Here is a 20,135-nt window from a genome sequence, read left to right as displayed (position 1 = left end):
GTAATGATGGTCGTACAACCTCATGAAAGTACTTAATACCATTCAAAGGATCTGAATAGATATTTCTCTACAGAAGACATACATATTCAGGAGGCTGAGGTGGGAAGATGGTTTGAGCCCAGGAGTTCAACTCCAGCATGGGCAACATAGCAAAACTCTGTCTTTAAAAAAAAAAAAAAAAAAAGGAAAAAAGACATACAGATGACCAACAGATGTGAAAAAAATGCTCAATACTCAACAGTACTACTCATCAGGAAAATACAAATTAAAAGCACAATGAGATATCATCTCACCCCAGTTAAAATGGCTTATTATCAAAAGGACAAAAAAATAGCAGATGCTGGTCAGGATGCAAAGAAAGGGGAAAGCTAGTGGGAATGGAAATTAGTATTGCCACCATGGAAAACAGTGTGGAGGTTCCTCAAAAAACTAAAAACAGATCTACCATCCCATTACTGGGTATATATCCAAAGGATTATAAATCATGCTGCTATAAAGACACATGCACACGTATGTTTATTGCAGCACTATTCACAATAGCAAAGACTTGGAACCAACCCAGATGTCCATCAATGATAGACTGGATTAAGAAAATGTGGCACATATACACCATGGAATACTATGCAGCCATAAAAAAGGATGAGTTCATGTCCTTTGTAGGGACCTGGATGAAGCTGGAAACCATCATTCTGAGCAAACTATCACAAGGACAGAAAATCAAACACTGCATGTTCTCACTCATAGGTGGGAATTGAACAATGAGAACACTTGGACACAGAGTGGGGAACATCACACACCAGGGCCTGTAGTGGGGTGGGGGGAGGGATAGCATTTGGAGATATACCTAATGTAAATGATGAGTTAATGGGTGCAGCATACCAACATGGCACATGTATACATATGTAACAAACCTGCACGTTGGGCACATGTACCCTAGAACTTAAAGTATAATAAAAAAGAAATAGATCTACTATATGATCCAGCAATCCCACTGCTTGGTGTATACCCAAAAGAAAGGAAATTGTGTATTAAAGACATATGTGCACACCCATGTTTATTGCAGCAGTACTCACAAAAGGTGAGATATGGAAGGAACCTAAATGCCCATCAACTGATAAATGAGAAAAAATGTAGTATATATACACAATGAAATACTATTCAGCCACAGAAAAGAATAAAGTCCTGTCATTTGCACCAACACAGATGGAACAGGAGGCCATTATGTTAAATGAAAAAGGCCAGGCACAGACGACAAATATATGTTCTCCCTCATACGCAGGAAAAGTGTATCTCATGGAGGTGGAAACTAGAATGGTAGATACTGGAGGCCAGGAAGGGTAGCAGGGGGAATAAAGAGAGGTTGATTAATGGGTACAGACAATTAAATGGAAGGAATAATTTCTAGTGTTCAATAGCACAATACAGTGATTATAGTTAACAATAACTTATTGTATTTTGCAAAATAGTTAGAAGATCTGAAATGTTCCTAACACAAAGAAACAATAAATGTTTGAGGTGAGGCTGTATGCAGTGGCTTACACCTATAATTCCAGCATTTTGGGAGGCCAAGACAGGCAAATTGCTTGAGCCCAGAAGTTCAAGACCAGCCTGGGCAACAAGGCAAAACTCCATCCCTACAAAAAATAGAAAAAATTAGCCATGGGTGGGTGCGGTGGCTCATGGCTCATGCCTGTAATCCTAGCACTTTGGGAGGCCGAGGTGGGCAGATCACTTGAGGTCAGGAGTTCAAGACCAGCCTGGCCAACACGGTGAAACCCCGACTCTAGTAAAAATGTAAAAATTAGCTGGAAATCACTTGAACCCGGGAGCTGGAGGTTGCAGTGAGCCGAGATCATGCCACTCCACTCCAGCCTGGGCAACAGACCGAGACTCAGTCTCAAAAAAAAAAAAAAAAAATTCAGCCGAGCGTGGTGGTGAGCAACTGTAGTTCCAGGAACTCAGGAGGCTGAGGTAGGAGAATCACCTGAGCCTGGGAGGTTGAGGCTGCAATGAGCCGTGATCATGCCACTGCATTCCAGCCCCTGGGTGTTGGAGTAAGACTCTGTCTCAAAAAAAAAAAATTTTTTTTTTGAGGTGATGAATATCCTAATTAGCCCAAATTAATCATTTCAGATTATATGCCTGTATCAAAATATCACATGAACCCTTTAATATGTGTAATTTTTTTTTTTTTGAGATGGAATCTCGCTCTGTCACCCAGGCTGGAGTGCAGTGGCGCGATCTCGGCTCACTGCAAGCTCCGCCTCCCGGGTTCACACCATTCTCCTGCCTCAGCCACCCAAGTAGCTGGGACTACAGGTGCCTGCCACCACGCTGGCTAATTTTTTTGTATTTTAGTAGAGACGGGGTTTCACCATGTTAGCCAGAATGGTCTCGATCTCCTGATCTTGTAACCCACCCGCCTCGGCCTCCCAAAGTGCTGGGATTACAGGCGTGAGCCACCACGCCCGGCTTTAATATGTATAATTATTATGTATCAATGAAAATAATTTTTAAAAAGAAAGTACTTCATGCCACTGAGTTGTTTACTTAAAAAATGGTTTACTAGGTAAATTTAATATTGTGTATATTTTGCTACAATTTTTTTTAAAGTAGCTAGCTGCTCCTTCTAAATTGAGGATGATGGCTGTGGAAGTTGTCTCATGCTGCTGTTCAGTAAAAATTAAATTCACACCAGGTGCAGTGGCTCATGTCTGTAATCCCAGCACTTTGGGAGGCCGAGGCAGGCGGATCACTTGAGGTCAGGAGTTCAAGACCAGCCTGGCCAACATAGTGAACCCTCCTCTCTACTAAAAATACAAAAAATTAGCCAGGCATGGTGGTGTGTGCCTGTAATCCCAGCTACTCAGGATGCTGAATCACTTGAACCCAGGAGGCAGAGGTTGCAGTGAGCTGAGATGGCACCACTGCACTCCAGCCTGGGTGACGGAGTATGACTCTGACTCAAAAAATAATAAGAAAAGTAAAAATAAATTTGCTTCTTCTCTCCAACCCTGACATAAAAATTGACAAAGATGGTTTGCTTGACCAAACTTTTTTTTGTTTTTTTTGAGACAGAGTTTTGCTCTTGTTGCCCAGGCTGGAGTGCAATGATGCAATCTCGGCTCACCACAGCCTCCGCCTCCTGGGTTCAAGCGATTCTCCTGCCTCAGCCTCCTGAGTAGCTGGGATTACAGGCATGCACCACCACACCCGGCTAATTTTGTATTTTTAGTAGAGACAAGGTTTCTCCATGTTGATCACGCTGCTCTCGAACTCCTGACCTCAGGTGATCCGCCTGCCTCGGCTTCCTAAAGTGCTGGGATTACAGGCATGAGCCACCGCGCCCAACCTTGGCCAAACTTTAATCAGGTTCCTGAACCTTCTCCTAGGCCAATATATGTGTACTTCTTCATAAAATACCGTTTCAGTAAAGAATCCTACTAAGTCAGTTTTGCAAAAACACCCCTACCCTTGATACCTGATCACCCTCAATATCTGATCAGGTTCCTCATCCTCTACCATCATTCAGGTAATGACTGATCACCCTGGCCTATCTTCAGCAGGAATCCTGTTAGGTCGGTTTAGCCAGAATTCCACTTCCCCCAATACCTCCTCTTAGTAATTTTCCATTCACTGGCCCCCCACCCTGCCCCTTGGCTACTAATTCCCTCTTGTTCATGCTATATTCAGAGTTAAACACAATTTCTCTCCCTCCCACTACAATATCCCATTGTTCCTACACCTATCATGATGGTCTTGAAAAAAGTCTTCGTTACAGTGCTTTAACCAGTGTCTTTGGATTTTTTTTTCTTAACAAAACACAAATGGTTAAGATCCTAGTGGTTAAGAACAAAGGTTTTGTAGTCAGAACACAGCTGCACATCAAAGTTTGCTTCTGTGAATTGCCAGTTATGTGAACTTGGCAAGCTATATCAAAAAGACTGATGTGTCAGGAGGTAAGGGGAAAGGGGAGGGACAAATACCTAATGCATGTGGGGCTTAAAACCTAGATGATGGGTTGATAGGGGCAGAAAACCACCATGGGTCTATGTATACCTATGTATACATAGGTATAACTATGTAACATGTATACCTATGTATACATAGGTATAACTATGTAACATGTATACCTATGTATACATAGGTATAACTATGTAACATGTATACCTATGTATACATAGGTATAACTATGTAACATGTATACCTATGTAACATGTATACCACATGTATACCTATGTAACAAACCTGCATGTTCAGCACATGTATCCCGGAACTTAAAGTAAAATTAAAAAAAAAAAAAACACTGATGTGCATATAATCCCTTCGGGTACTGGGACTTTACCACAGCCTCAGTCTTCCTGTGAGAAACAATTGGAGTGCTAATATCTGATTCATGGGTTGTTACGAAGACTAGGTGAGACAGTATATGTAAATTGCTTAATACAGTTTTGAGCATTTAGTGAGCACTCAATGAATAGAAACTAATATTCTTCTTCTTTTTTTTTTTTTTTTTTTGTGAGATAGAGCCTCCCTTTGTTGCCCAGGCTGGAGTGCAGTGGCGTGATCTCGGCTCACTGCAACCTCCGCCTCCCAGGTTCTAAGTGAGTCTCCTCCCTCAGCCTTCAGAGTAGCTGGGATTACAGGCGCACACCACTATGCCCAGCTAATTTTGTATTTTTAGTAGAGACAGGGTTTCACCATGTTGGCCAGGCTGGTCTCGAACTCATGACCTCAGGTGATCCACCCACCTCGGCCTCCCAAAGTGCTGGGATTACAGGCGTGAGCCACCACCTCCATCCAGAAACTAATATTCTTAATTTTTTGCTTAGTCTGCCCTTCCAAACTTAAGAGTCATCTGAGGATTTGACGGGTTTGGGGTTTGGCTTTGGATTTTGGTTTTGTTTTGTGGGTGTGTGGTTGTATTAGGTTTTTTTATTTGTTTTTGCTATGTATGTACAATTGGGTAGATAAGAACCCTGGCACATGTGGCAAGTTCTTTGCAAGGTTATTTGTGTTCTAGGGAATATGTAGACTTATGTAGATACACACTCCATGGCAGGCACGTGTTTGCACATGGGCAGCTGAGCAGGTGTGTGCACATGTATCTATGGATATATATAAAACACTGTTTCCTTAGAAGACTTTGTCACCAATGAACTAATTCAAAAGTCATTTTCTCTTACTTATCATGGTATCGGCAGAGGTTAGTGAATGGGAAGATAATTAAAGAGTAATTGGTCAAAGGGGAAGATTGCGTTTTAATTGAAGTCTCTTATCCTACCCAAAGGTTCTAGATATTAGAGAGAAATGTGATGACTGGTCATAAAAATTCTGGTCTGTAGGTTGTTGTGGATCACCAGGCTGTACATTTCACAAGGTCTCCTGGGTCCACTGCCAGTCTTCCCAGTCAGAGGAAGGAAGACTGATCTCAGGTGCATCTCATCTTGGGATACCCTTTGTGCTGCTGATACCCTTTCTGGAGAGGGTCTCTGCGGGATTAGGGAAGCTAAAGCTCTAGGAGGCAGGACCTCTGAGTTCTGACAGGCCTCTGCAGCCGATGCACTTTACCACGCCAGGACTCCAAGGTCACATCTACAGAGGAGTGCAGTGTGCAGTGGTTAGGAGCACAGGCATTAAAGTCAGACAAACTCGGGCTTAGCTTCCAGTACCTCTACCTCTCAACCGGTAAATGTGTGATTCTGTGACTTCCTCTTTCTGAGCCTCTGTTTCTTCAACTATAAAACGTGGATTTTTAAAATTCCTATCTCAACAGGTTATTGTGAAAATTAAAATTTTGCATTGAAAGTCCCTTGCGTATTATCTGGCATAAGGTGGTATTTAATTAATAATAATGACTCATACTTATTGAACATACCATGAGAGGTCTCATTTAGTCCTTACAACAACCCAGAGTGGTAGATACCATTATTATCCCCATTTTACAGATGAAGAAACTGAGGCACTGGTCCCAGTTAACACAGCTAGTAAGAGGGGAATTTGAGTTTAGGCACTCTCACTCTCTTACACTATCTCCCAGGCTGGAGTGATCAGAGCTCACTGCAGCCTCAAACTTCTGGGCTCAAGTGATCTCCCTGCCTCAGCCTCCCAAGTAGCTGGGACTATAGGTGAATGCTACCACACCTGGCTAATTTTCTAACTTTTTTTTTTTTGGTAGAGATGGGGTCTCGCTGTGTTGCCCAGGCTGGCCTGGAACCCCTAGTCTCAAGTGGTCCTCCAGCCTCAGCCTCCCAAAGTGCTAGGATTATAGGCATGAGCCACTGCACCTGGCCAGATCCCTCTAATGTTAATGTGCATCCTCTCCCCCTGCTTCACTCCTAGGCTTTAGCCACCAATCACTTATTCACTCAACAGACATGCATTGAGCTCCTGGCACATAGTAGATGCTCATGACCTTGAGGATAGAGCACCAAATAAAATAAAGTCTCTGCCCTTGCACTGCTGAGAACTAAACAATGAGGCCAGGTGCAGTGGCTCACACCTGTAATCCCAGCACTTTGGGAAGCCAAGGTGGGTGGATCACCTAAGATCAGGAATTCTAGACCAGCCTGTTCAACATGATGAAACCCCGCCTCTACTAAAAATACAAAAATTGGCCAGGTGCAGTGGCTCACGCCTTTAATCCCAGCACTTTGGGTGGCTGAGGCAGGCGGATCACGAGGTCAGAAGTTCAAGACCAGCCTGGCCAACATGGTAAAACCCCATCTCTACTAAAAATACAAAAATTAGCCAGGTGTGATGGAGCGCACCTGTAATCCCAGCTACTGGGGAGGCTGAGGCAGGAGAATCGCTTGAACCCAGGAGGTGGAGGTTGCAGCGAGTCGAGATCACATCACTGCACTCCAGCCTGGGCAACAGAGCAAGACTATGAAATAAATAAACAAACAAACAAACAAAAATTAGCTGGATGTGCTGGCAGGCACCTATAATCACAGCTACTTGGGAGGCTGAGATGGGAGAATCGCTTGAACCTGAGAGGCAGAGGCTAAAGTGAGCCAAGATGGTGCCACTGCACTCCAGCCTGGGTGACAGAGCAAGACTCCATCTCAAAAAAAAAAAAAAAAAAAGAGAGGAGCCAGCCATCTGGAAAACCAGAGGAAGAGTCATATCAGAGGCCCTAAGGTGGGAATAAACTTGGCTGGAATGATCTAAGAAGGGACAGAAAGGCAGTGTGGCTGGAGCAATAAGCAGGAGGAGATGCCTGAGATGAGCCCTTTCCCTCTGTGGAGGTCCAGACTTACAGTTCACAAGCTGAGAGAAGACACCTCCCTGGGTGGTGCCCAGACCCCTTGAATGTCATTTGTCCAAAACAGAAGACATTACTCTCTCCACCCAAACCTCCTTCCTCCTCTTCCCTGGCCAGCACAACCAAACACGCAGTTGCCCGAGCTAAAGACCTTAAACATCTTGAATTTGTCCTCTCCTCTCTCACCACCATGACCCCTGCCTTGGTTCAGACCTTGTCATCAGTCACTTGAGCCATAGAACTGACCCCCTAACTGCCCTCCCTGCCTCTAGACTCTTCAGCTCCAACACCTCCCTCAGGCCAGACAGAGCGTCTCAAAACAACCAGGTGAACATATAACTCCCCCAGTGTAAAAACCCTCACGGTTCCTTTTTGGCTCAGGATGAACTCTAACCTCCTTGGCCTGGCATATAACATCCTTCCTTGTTCTGAAACCATATTTTCAGCCTCATCTCCCACTAGTCGTCCACATGTCTTGGAGCACCAAACATACCCAGTTACTCTTCATACCTGCCAGGAACAGCACAAGCGGTTCCTTCTTCCTAGAATTCCTCCTCTTCTTAGAATTCCTCTCTTGGCCCTCTGTGCCCACAGAACTACAGTTCAACATTTAAGATGCATTCTAGCCAGGGCAACAAAGCAAGACCCTAACTCTACGAAAAATTTTTAAAATTAGCTTGGCACAGCGGCACATGCCTGTAGTCCTAGCTACTTGGGAGGCTGAGGCAGGAGGATCACTTGAGCCCAGGAGTTTGAGGCTGCAGTGAGCTATGATCACGCCACTGCACTCCAGCCTGGATGACAGAGTGAGATTCTATCTCTTAAAAAAAAAATACAGCTCATCTCTTCATTAAATTCTTTTCTGACACCCCCAAGCAGAACTACCCACCCTACCATCCTAGTTCCCATAGCACATTATATTTATCACGTAATGTTAAAAGATAAACTTAGGCACATTACAATGTTAAAGAGTTTATTTTAGCAGACAGTGATTCATAAATCAGGTAGCACCAGACCACAAGCAATTTTGCACTGCACTGGGGGATGGGGGTGAGAAACTTTCATAACGTGTTTGTGGAAGAAAGACAAAGAAAATATATTTGATTGGTTAGAGCAAAAAGTCCCTATTTAGAAGTTAGTTAGACGTTTCTGATTGATGAAATCTCTAATTCTGTTTTACTGTTTACAGTGGGGCTTAATATGCTGGAGCCATGTCAGCCTATGGCTTCCCAATTAAAAATTTTATCTGGGTGCAGTGGCCCACACTTGTAATCCCAGCACTTCGGGAGGCCAATGTGGGCAGACTGACTGAGCCTAGGAGTTCAAGGCCAGCCTGGGCAACATGGCAAAAGCCCATCTCTTAAAAAAAAATAAGAATTAGCCAGATGTGGTGGCACGTACCTATAGTCCCAGCTACTAGGGAAGCTAAGGTGGCAGGATCACTTGACCCCAGGAAGTCGAGGCTGCAGTGAACTATGATCGCATCACTACACTCCAGCCCAGGTGACAGAGTGAGACCCTGTCTCAAAAAATAAATAAATAAATAAAAATTTAACAGTAGCCATAATACTCATCAAATGTGTTTCTCAGGCTGGGTACAGTGGCTCATGCCTGTAATCCCAGTACTCTGGGAGGCCAAGACAGGTGGATTGCTTAAGCCCAGGAGTTCAAGACCAGCCTGGGTAACACAGGGAGACCCTGTCTCTTCAAGAGAAAAAAAAAAAAAGTATTTCTGATTATCTGCTTATATGTCTCTCACCACCAGGGTGAGCTAAGAAGAGCCGAGACCCTGTCCTGTTGAGCACAATGCCTACTACACAAGAGATGCTCAATAAGTGTTTGTTGGATGAATGAGTAAAATATTGATAAAGAGAGCATAGAAAAAAATCAATGAGCCCGAAAGGATCAAATTCCCAGCCTTGGTCTCATTAGCACAAATGAGAATCTACAAGACAGAACGGAGGCCAAGAACAAACCAAAAACTAACCTTGTCTTGTCACCTGTGAATCACAGATCGTCAGAGCTCACCAAAGACCAAGGAGATACTATGACCTTGAGACAAGTTATTTGTCCAATTCCCCAGTCAGGTGTCAACAGAGCAGAACTGGAAGCCAAGACTCCTGCCTCCTAGTCGTAGAAATTTTTATACAGGCCAGCTTCTGTCCAGAGTTTAAAGACAAGAGAAGCATGGTTATCTTGTACACAGGAGCTCCAAGAAGGTACCCCGTAGCTCAAGGTGCCAAAAGCATAGTCAAGCTCTGTTATGGGTTCAATTGTGTCTCATCCCTCAAAAAAATTCACATTGAAGTCTTAACTCCCAGTAGCTCAAAATGGGAGCTTATTTGGAGATAGGGTCTTTAAAGAGGTCATCAAATTAAAATAAGGTAATTAGGGTGGGCCCTAATCCAATGTGACTGTTGTCCTAATAAAAAGGGGAAACTTGGACACAGAGACACACATACAGTGAAAATGCCATGCCAATAAGAAGACTGCTATCTATAAGCCAAGGAGAGAGGCCTGGCATAGATCTTCCCTCAAGGCCCTCAGAAGGAACCAACCCCGCCAACACCTTGATTTCAGACTTCTACCCTCCAGAACTGTGAGACAATAACTTTCTATTGTTTAAGCCACCAGGTTTGTGGGACTTTGTTATGGTAACCCTAGCAAATGAATGCAAGAGTACTACAGCAACGGTTCCCAAAGTGTGGTCCCTGAACCAGCAGCATCAAAACACATGGGATTTGTTAGACAAACAAGACCTACCAATCAGAAGGTCTGGGGATGGGGCTTAGCAAGCTATGGTTCAGCAGGTCCTCCAGGTGATTCTGATGCACACTAAATTTAAGAACCAGTGCTTTAGAGCTACTCTATCTATACTGGGTTGATTGTTGTCTTCCCAAAATTCATGTCCACCCAGAACCTCAGAATGTGACTTCATTTGGAAATAGGGTCTTTGCAGTTGTAATTAGTAAAGATGAGGTCATACGGGATTAGGATGGGCCCTAAATCCAATGGCTGGTGTGCTTATAAAGATAGCAAGATTTGGAGACATACACACACACACACACACACACACACACACAAGGAGAATGCCATGTGACAATGGAGGCAGAGACTGAAGTGATGCATCGACAAGCTAAAGAACACCAAGGGTGCCAGAAGCCCTCAGAAGCTGGAGGAGAGGCCAGGAAGGATTCTTCCCTAGAGCCTTCAGAAGCAGTATGGCTCTGCTAACACCTTGTTTATTCACTCATAGCCTCTGGAACTATGAAAAAATTAATTTCCATTGTTTTAAGTGACCCAATTTGTGGTAATTTGTTACAGCAGCCCTCAGAAAATAATACCCTATTGAATACAGGAGTCACAGGCACAAATAACTATTTAAATTTACATTCATTAAGATGAAATAAAACTGAAAATTGAGTTCCTCAAGTCACCCTGGGCACATTTCAAGTGCTCAGTAGCCACATAGGGCTCATGGCTACTGTATTTGACAGCACAAATATAGAACATTTCCATCAGAACAGAAAGTTATATCAGACATCACTACTACCACAGAGCAGGGTCAGCTAGGTATGGCCCATGGGCTAAACTTAGCCCACCATGGTTTTTTGTGTTGTCTATAAACTAATAATGGTTTTTACTTTCTTTTTTTTTTTTTTTTTTTTTTTAAGAGATGGGGTCTCACTCTGTCACGCAGGCTGGAGTGCCATGGCGCCATCATAGTTCACTGCAGCCTCCAACTCCTGGGCTTAAGCAATTTTCTTGCCTCAGCCTCCTAAGTAGCTGGGACTACAAGCACACACCACCTACACCTGGCTTGATTTTCACTTTTTTTTTTTTTTTTTTTTTGAGACAGGGTTTCACTCTGTCACTCAGGCTGGAGTGCAATGGCACACTCTCTGCTCACTGCAGCTTCCGCCTCCCGGGCTCAAGCAATCCTTTCACCTCAGCCTCCCCAGTAGCTAGGACTACAAGCAGTCGCCACCATGTCCAGCTTATTTTTATATATATTTTTGGAGCGATGGAGTTTCACCATATTGCCCAGGCTGGTCTTGAACTCCTGGGCTCACGCGATCCTCCCCCTCAGTCAGCCTCCCAAAGTGCTGGGATTACAGGTACATGCCACCACGCCCAGCCAATTTTTACATTTTTTAATGGTTCTCACTCATAGGTGGGAATTGAACAACGAGAACACATGGACACAGGAAGGGGAACATCATACAGCGGGGACTGTTGTGGGGTGGGGGGAGGGATAGCATTAGGAGATATACCTAATGCTAAATGATGAGTTAATGGGTGCAGCACACCAACATGGCACATGTATACATATGTAACAAACCTGCACGTTGTGCACATGTACCCTAAAACTTAAGGTATTATAATAATAAAAAAAAAGAAAAAATATAAGAAGAAGACTATTTCAAGACATATGAAAATCACATGAAATTCAAATTTCATTGCCTGGAAATGGTTACTGGAACATGTTCATGATCATCCACTTACATATTATCTATGACTGCTTTTGTGCTACAATGGCAGTCAAGTCATTGTGACAGAGACCATATGCCCCACAAAATAAGATATTTACTAGCTGGCCTATTACAGAAAAAGTTGACCAACTCTTGCTCTAGAGGGTAATGAAGGGAGACAAGAAGAGGGTATAAAAACAAATTGGCACAAGAGGGACCTGCTTTGAGATGTCCACAGGCATGTGCTGCCCAGTCTACAGCTCAGCAAACTTTCCAGATCAGAGTGAAAGCAAGGAGGTTATATACTACTTTTTACTTATATACACATACATATACTAGACATATAAATAATATCAATGTATATACACACGTTGCCTAACAAATCCCAGGTAATGCTGATGCTGTTGGTCCAAGAACCACACTTTAAGAACCACGGCTCTAGGGCACTTGCATTCATTTGCTAGGGCTACCATAACAAAGTCCCACAACTGGTGGCTTAAACAACAGAAATTTATTGTATCGGCCAGGTGCAGTGGCTCACGTCTGTAATCCCAGCACTTTGGGAGGCCGAGGCGGGCGGATCACGAGGTCAGGAGTTCCATACCAGCCTGGCCAACATAATGAAACCCCGTCTCTACTAAAAATACAAAAATTAGCTGGGTGTGGTGGCGGGCACCTGAATCCCAGCTACTCAGGAGGCTGAGGCAGAGAATTGCTTGAACCTGGGAAGCAGAGGTTGCAGTAAGCCAAGATCACGCCACTGCACTCCAGCCTGGGCAACAGCGCCAGACTCTGTCTCAAAAAAAAAGAAAAAGAAAAAGAAATTTTTTGTCTCACAGTTCCGGAGGCTAGAAGTCTGAAACTCACACATGTACATTATATATGTACACACACATGCATACATAAAATATGCATAGAGAAGGGACTAGAGGGACTATTCTCAGGCACTAATAATGGCCATCTAAGGGAGAAGGGGAGAATGGGACTGTAGGGATTATTTCTTCTGCTATCATTGCTCTCTGTGTTTTCTGATTAATCTGTAATTAGGTGATATTGCTTTTTTAACAAGGAAAAGAAAAATCTGCCTAATTCTGAAACCAAGCTCCGAACCTCCAGACTAGATCCTAAAGGCTGGGCCTCCCTGGCTGCCTTTGTCTTTTCATCACACTAAATACCTTCATGCTCTCTTTCCCCATCAAAATTAGCTCTCAGGAAAGGATCTGTTCCCTCCCCCACACCCACTTTACACTGAGTTATGTCATCAACTGATTCAAAGTTTGCTATGAATGTCCCTCCCAGAGCAAAATAGCATTGTGAAAAAGATCAAAGCCTAGAGCTGTGGGCATGAAGCCCTTCTAGTGAAATGGTAGCTATCAGTTAGCCAGGCAGGAACATGGAGGGCCTTCTGGTCACCCCTGAAGTCCCCAGGGCAAGGGAACTGCCCACCTCAGTTACCTGCAGGAGCCTATCCAGTGTGCAATCCTAGGCTCTGCACCCAGAAACAATCAACAAATACAGCTACACTTACAAGTTAGGATCCAAACTCTCAATCCTCCCCAACACTAGGTAAAAACCTCTGAAACCCAGTCCACTTTTAAGACCTAGAAAAGGTACTAGACTCTGTCTCTGGAGACCTGAGCTCAAATCCCTGCATTGCCAACTAACTCCCTGTGAAATCTCAGTCCCTCTATCTGTCTTCCGTTTTGCTTCTGGAATCGGGTCAGGCTTGAGCAGGGTGACCTCCAAGTTCCCCCTCAGCTCTGCTCTGGGCTGCTCTGGATCCCCAGGTTGTGTGTATGTATGCCTGGGACAGGGTCCAAGGGGCCAAAAAGATTAACCATTGGGCTGGGTCAGTTCCAGGAAGGACTCAAAAATTAACCTCGTCACTCTGGTTTTCCCTTTTAATCTTTACCTGTAACTCTGATGTGGCATCATTCCTCTCCTGCCTCCGTAGACCAAGGGCCATCCTGACTCTTCCACTCAGAATACTCCATTACCCCCAATCCCCACCATCTACCCAACCAAATTCAGCCAATCCTCACTACCTCCATGAAACCTTCTCTGACTTCCCAAAGCCCCAAGACCACAACATCTTTAGCACCTCTCTATACTATACTCTATCCCAGTATACGGCTGACTGCTTGGGGTCATAGTGACCAGCCTCTGTGGGTATTCTTGGTTGGCCTACCCCCTAGAGAATAGAAAGTATGCTGTCTTTAGCCCTTTATTATATGAACTGCACAGGGCTCAGCACAGGTTCATTTTTGAGGATGCCAGACTATGTGAAATGCTTTTCACCCAGCTGAAAAGTAAGTCCTGGCTGCTAGGAAAAGTTCTTAATGTTCTTAACTCTTCAAAGCACCTGTAGCTCCCTTAGCTCCTTGGATCCTTTACAGGAACCCCGTGAAACAAGTAACCATGTAAATGAGAATCCCGAGTCCATGAAAGTGAAGCAATTTGCTTAAGTCCATGCAGCAAGTTGGTGGTAGAACCCAAAACTCAAGCCAGAGTTCTTGCCTCCTAGTCTTGGACTTTGAAATGTGCAGCACACAGTGAAATCATAGCATCACCCTCTTTTTAAGAAAAAAAAAAAACAGCAGGCTGGGGCTGCCTCCATACCAACATGTGAACACACAAACACACACACAAACACTTCATAAGTATCTTCACACTGGCTCCAGCCTGCTTGGGGATTCACCCTTTTAGAATCTTAAGACTGTTTTCCTCCACCTATTATCACGGTTCTTAACTTTTTTTTTTTTTCAGGCAAGAGTCTCACTGTTGTCTCCAAGGCTGGAGTGCAGTGGTGTGATCATGGCACACAGTAACCTCCTACTTCTGGGCTCAGGTGATTCTCCCATCTCAGGTTCCTGATTAGCTGGGACTACAAGCATGCACCAACCACCTCTCCTGGCTAAGCTGGCTTTTTCTGTTTTGTTTTTTTTTTTTTTTTTTTTTTTTTTTGGTAGAGATGAGGTCTCACTATGTTGCCCAGGCTAGCAGTAAACTCCTGGCCTCGGGCAATCATCCTGCCTTGGCCTCCCAAAGTGCTGAGATTACAGGCATGAGCCACCATGCTAGCCCTATCATGATTCTTTAAGGAAACAACAGCCAAGGGCAGCTCCCAGCCAGCCCAGTACATTTTCTCCAAGAGATTGCAAGAAGCCAAGAGACACTGAACTTGGTCCTACTTGTAGTGGTGAGGTCTCCTCAGCCCCTTCCCTCCTCCTGCTGTGCAAAATCTAGAGAAGAGAGAAATGAAAGTTCTGGAGTGTCTATTACTTTGCTAGGTCTGCCATAACTAAATATCACAGGCTGGATGGCTTAAATAACAGAAATGTATGTTCTCACAGTTCTGGAAGCTAGATGCCCAAAATTAAAGGCAGCAGGTTTGTTATCTCCTTGAGACTCTCTCCTTGGCTTGCAGATGGCCGTCTCCTCCCTTGTCCTCACGTGGTCTTTCTTTTTGTGCATGCATCCTTGATGCCTCTTCGTACGTTCAAATTTCCTCTTTTTTTTTTTGGTTTTTTTTTTGAGATGGAGCTTCACTCTTGTTGCCCAAGCTGGAGTGCAATGGCGCCATCTCGGCTTAATGCAATCCTGCCTCCCAGGTTCAAGCAATTCTCCTGCCTCAGCCTCCCGAGTAGCTGGGATTACAGGCACGTGCCACCACACCCGGCTAATTTTTTGTATTTTTAGTAGAAACAGGATTTCACCATGTTAACTAGGCGTATCTCGAACTCCTGACCTCAGATGATCCACCCGCCTCGGCCTCCCAAAGTGCTGAGATTACAGGTGAGAGCCACCACGCCTGGCCCACATTTCCTCTTATAAGGATGTCAGATTGGATCAGAGCCCACCCATATGACCTCACTTAACCTTAATTATCTCTTTAAAAGACCTCTCCCCAAATATAGTCACATTCTGAGGTATTGTGGGTTAGGACTTCAACATATAAATTTTAGCAGGGGATACAATTCAGTTCATAACAGAGTGTGTGCAGGCATCCCAGCATACAACCGAGAGGTGGTCTTTCCAGTCCAAAAACGATGTTCTGAACATCATGGCGACCCACATTTGCATATTAAAGGACTAAGGTGGGAGGGCCAGGTTTTTCTTCGGCTACGTAAATGACACACCTGGTCAAACCAATCCCCTGGGCCCTATGCAGACCAGACACCGCCTCCTCCAGCATCCCAATATAAGCAACCACTTTTTCCGCCACACACGGGGTTTCTCTTTGTTCCGAGCCCCCACCTCTGTCTCTGTACAGGGGAGCTGTTTTCTTCTTTTTTTCTTCTTTCTTGCCTATTAAACTGTTTGCTCCTTAAAACTACTCCGTGTGTGTCCGTGTCACTTACCTACATTGGCGCAAGACCAAGGACCCTGGTGTTCCTCCAGTCATCGGAGCCATATCAGTAGGCACCACCTCTGCCATGCCGCCGGATCATTCAGGAATCTGTAAATTTACATACATATTCATATGCATGTATCTATTCCGTGCTGGTGTGTACGGACAGGTGTATTTATGCTATTGTGTTTGGTCTGAATGTGTGTGTGTGTTGTGTAGGTATAATGTGAACATGCATGTGTATCTACAGGTACCCTCCTGCAAATATCTACATGTGTGGATGAGTGTGTGGGTGGGCACAAATATTTGTTCATTCACTGTGCACTCATCAGTTCAACAAAGATGTATTGGTGTTGCAGGCACTGTGCCAAGTTCTGAAGATGAGTAAGACACAGTATACAGATGCGTGTATACCAGGGTACATGAGTGGTAGATGCGTATTCCAGTACTATGTAGGTGCCTGTGAAAACTTTGCATAAACTAAGAGAGTTCCTGATTGCACCTTTAGCATCTCTTGATGCTAAAAGACGCTGCAGTGGTCTCTCCCCAAGCCCCAAGGATCAGATTCCAACAATCCCCATGGAAGCCTCAGGCAACAGAGGCATCCTCTGCCCACCACTCCACTTGGGTGGAAGGCTAAAGTTCTGGGTCCCTCATCATCATCCCAGCCACTCCACCCTCCCCACCCATTGAGAGGTGAGACAGCATTTCTTGATAACAGGGCACCAAGAGTCCAGGCCACTGGAAGCCACCTGACATTCACATGGTTTTATGGTTTCACAGTTAATATTTGGCCTTGGGTTATTTCTGCTCTAAGAGGTAAGCCAGAAAAGGCAGGAGGAGAGATGGGGACAGGAGAGATAAGGTGCTAGGTCACCTGCACAAGGCACCTGCCCTGGTAGCTGCCTCGAGCACCATTATATATGTGCAGAGTTCCAGGTCCTGCCAAAGGAGGGAGGTATCCAAAGAAGGAGAGACAAAAGCCTTCAGGAGCATGGCTGGGAAAGAGAGCCCTTTGCAAAACACTCCCCAGGAGCCTAGAATCCCCCTCTACAACCTCCTAAGGAATCCAGGAAGCCTCTCTACCAATAGCCAGGCTGTGCTTGGTCACCTTCCAGGACATGAGGAGCTCACTACCTTCAGGATGCTCTCTTTTTTGTTTTTTCTTTCTTCTTTCTTTTTTTTTTTTTTTTTTTTGAGATGGAGTTTCGCTCTTGTCGCCCAGGCTGGAGTGCAATGGCGCAATCTCGGCTCACCGCAACCTCCGCTTCCCAGGTTCAGGCGGTTCTCCTGCCTCAGCTTCCTGAGTAGCTGGGATTACACGCACCTGACACCATGCCCAGCTAATTCTTTTTATTTTTAGTAGAGATGGGGTTTCACCATGTTGGCCAGGCTGGTCTTGAACTCCTGACCTCAGATGATCCACCCACCTCAGCCTCCCAAAGTGCTGGGATTATAAGCGTGAGCCACTGCGCCTGGCAAGATGCTCTCTTAAAAATGTCTCCTTTATACGGAGACAAAAGTTTACCTCCTTCCATTCATCAATCCTAATTTCTCTCAAAAAAAAAAGTATCTCCCTAAGAATAACTGTCCTTTGATTAATGACTCCAGAAGGTCCCTGTTTCAAATGCTAATACATCACCTGGGAAAAATACATTATTATTTTTTGGTTATTTGAGTGGTTTTCTTTCCCATTTGAAGTCTTTAAATTCCCTAAGAATAGGAATGGATATATACATATATACATATACACACACACACATACACATATATATGTCATACACTACCTAGTAATATATGTATGTATATGTATATATGTATACTACATATACATATATATACATGTGTATATGTATATATGTAAATTCTATATGTGTATCTTATATATTTATATATTTATAATATATATGTGTGTGCATGTGTGTGTGTGTATATATATATATATATATATATATGTACACACAGACATATATACTATACTGTGTATACCACCATTAATATTTGCTATACTGGGCACCATGCTGAGTTCACATGTGCGCTCTCTTATTCAATCTCCACAGCACTATAGAGCATTATTATTCCTATTTTATAGAGGAGAACAGTGAGGGGTTAAGTACCTTGAATGAGACCTCCCAGCTAATTAGTAGGATTCAAACCCAGTCATTCTGATTTTAAGCCTGTCCCTTTAAGCACCACACTATAACCTTTTCTATGCCTTGCACATACTAAGCCTAAATTAATGCTAGGTGAATGTATTATTTATTGAATTAATTAAATATCCCAGGCCGGGCTTGGTGGCTCACGTCTGTAATCCCAGCACTTAGGGAGGCCAAGGCAGGCAGATCACCTGAGCTCAATAGTTCGAGACCACCCTGGCCAATATGGCAAAACTCCATCTCTACCAAAAATACAAAAATTAGCCGGGTATAGTGGTACACAACTGTAGTCCCAGTTACTCGGGAGGCAGAGGTTGCAGTGAGCCAAGATTGCGCCACTACACCCCAGCCTGGGCAATAGAGCAAGACTCTATCTCAAAAAAACAAAAACGCAGGCCGGGCGCAGTGGCTCACACCTGTAATCCCAACACTTTGGGAGGCTGAGGTGGATGGATCACCTGAGGCTAGGAGTTTGAGACCAGCCTGACCAACATGGAGGAACCCCGTCTCTACTAAAAATAAAAAAATTAGTCATGCATGGTGGCGCATGCCTGTAATCCCAGTACTTGGGAGGCTGAGGCAGGAGAATCGCTTGAACCAGGGAGGCAGAGGTTGTGGTGAGCTGAGATCGTGCTGTTGCACTCCAGCCTGGGCAACAAGAGTGAAACTCCATCTCAAATAAATAAATAATAAATAAATAATAAAAATAAATAACCCACCCGTTCCCAGCAACACAAAACATGAGTGACTTTATCACATCAGTCATTCGCATCTGGAAACATAGAAAAGATGAACTTACGTGGAGGACAAGAGACAGTCTGGGGCCCAGGCCAGAGAAGACAGGGTCTCACTCACTCTGCCACCCAGGCTAGAGTGCAGTGGCATGATCTTCGCTCACTGCAGCCTCAACCTCCAGAGCTCATGTGATCCTCCCAGCTCAGCCTCCTGAGTACCTGGGACTAAGGTGTGCACCACCACGCCTGGCTAATTTTTTTTTTTTGGAGAGACAGAGTTTCACCATGTTGCCCAAACTGGTCCCAAACTCCTGGGCTCAAGTGATCCGCTCACTTCGGCCTCCTAAAGTGCTGGGATTATAGGCATGAGCTACCACACCTGGCCTTAGACTGCGTCTTTCGACTTCAAGGTGTTCCCAGTGTAGTTGGGGAGAAAGACAAAGGAAATGCAGTGGGCTTCTGAGTTTCCTCCTAAATCGCTCTTGAGCCGAGTCCATTCGAAGAACCTGAGTCCTTTACCTAGAATGCCTTTCTCCCCTACGTCAGTCTCTCCTCCATCAAGAACCAACTCAAATGTCACCTTTTCCTTGCAGCTCAAGCTACCCATTTTTTTCTCTCAAGGCAGAGTGATTCCTACTTCAGCTGGGTTCCCACTGCCTTCATACATACCCTGCTATCACACACATCACATCATATTGCATTTGTGTGTTTATCTGTCTAGACACCATGAGGGGCTCAAATGCTGAGCTTTTTAGTCTCAGGGCCCAGCACAGGGCTTTGCAGAGTCAGCACCCAGTAAATGTATGTTGTCAGTGAGTCAGCGAGTGAGCAAGAGATGGAATAAAGAGAGAGCCATCTTGCAGAAAGGAAAAACCCCTGGGCCCAAACTAGACCAGGACTTTGTACCTCACAAATGACATGCGGGTTTTTATCACTGTTATGCTCCTGCTACAAGGGTTGGTATGGCAACCCCCTCCTTCTCCAGAGCCAGGGTCCTCCAGAGACCTCCCCACCACTCCGGTGAGAAGTGAAGCGTGAATGATCTGCCACCCCAACACCCTCAGAGAGGCCAGCCAGCCTCCTGCCCTTCTCCCTAGCTGTGCCAGAACAGCAGGGCCCCCAGGCTGGAAAGTTTGCCAACTGAGTCCACTGGGG

General features: G+C 44.6%; 1 long non-coding RNA gene across 1 annotated transcript in view; it reads right to left on the bottom strand.

Moving 5' to 3' along the window:
- Window positions 1–20,135, bottom strand: part of LINC02558 (long intergenic non-protein coding RNA 2558) — a 66,377-nt gene that overhangs the window by 32,920 nt on the left and 13,322 nt on the right. Inside the window, exon 4 of the long non-coding RNA NR_149128.1 lies at window positions 16,101–16,198. This is a non-coding gene — a long non-coding RNA (long intergenic non-protein coding RNA 2558). The remainder of the gene's footprint in view (window positions 1–16,100; window positions 16,199–20,135) is intronic.

Source organism: Homo sapiens, chromosome 22, assembly GCF_000001405.40.
Source record: "Homo sapiens chromosome 22, GRCh38.p14 Primary Assembly".
NCBI classification, from domain to species: domain Eukaryota; kingdom Metazoa; phylum Chordata; class Mammalia; order Primates; family Hominidae; genus Homo; species Homo sapiens.
The sequence above is the reverse complement of the archived record's forward strand: the minus strand, read 5'-3'. Positions and strand labels throughout refer to the sequence as shown.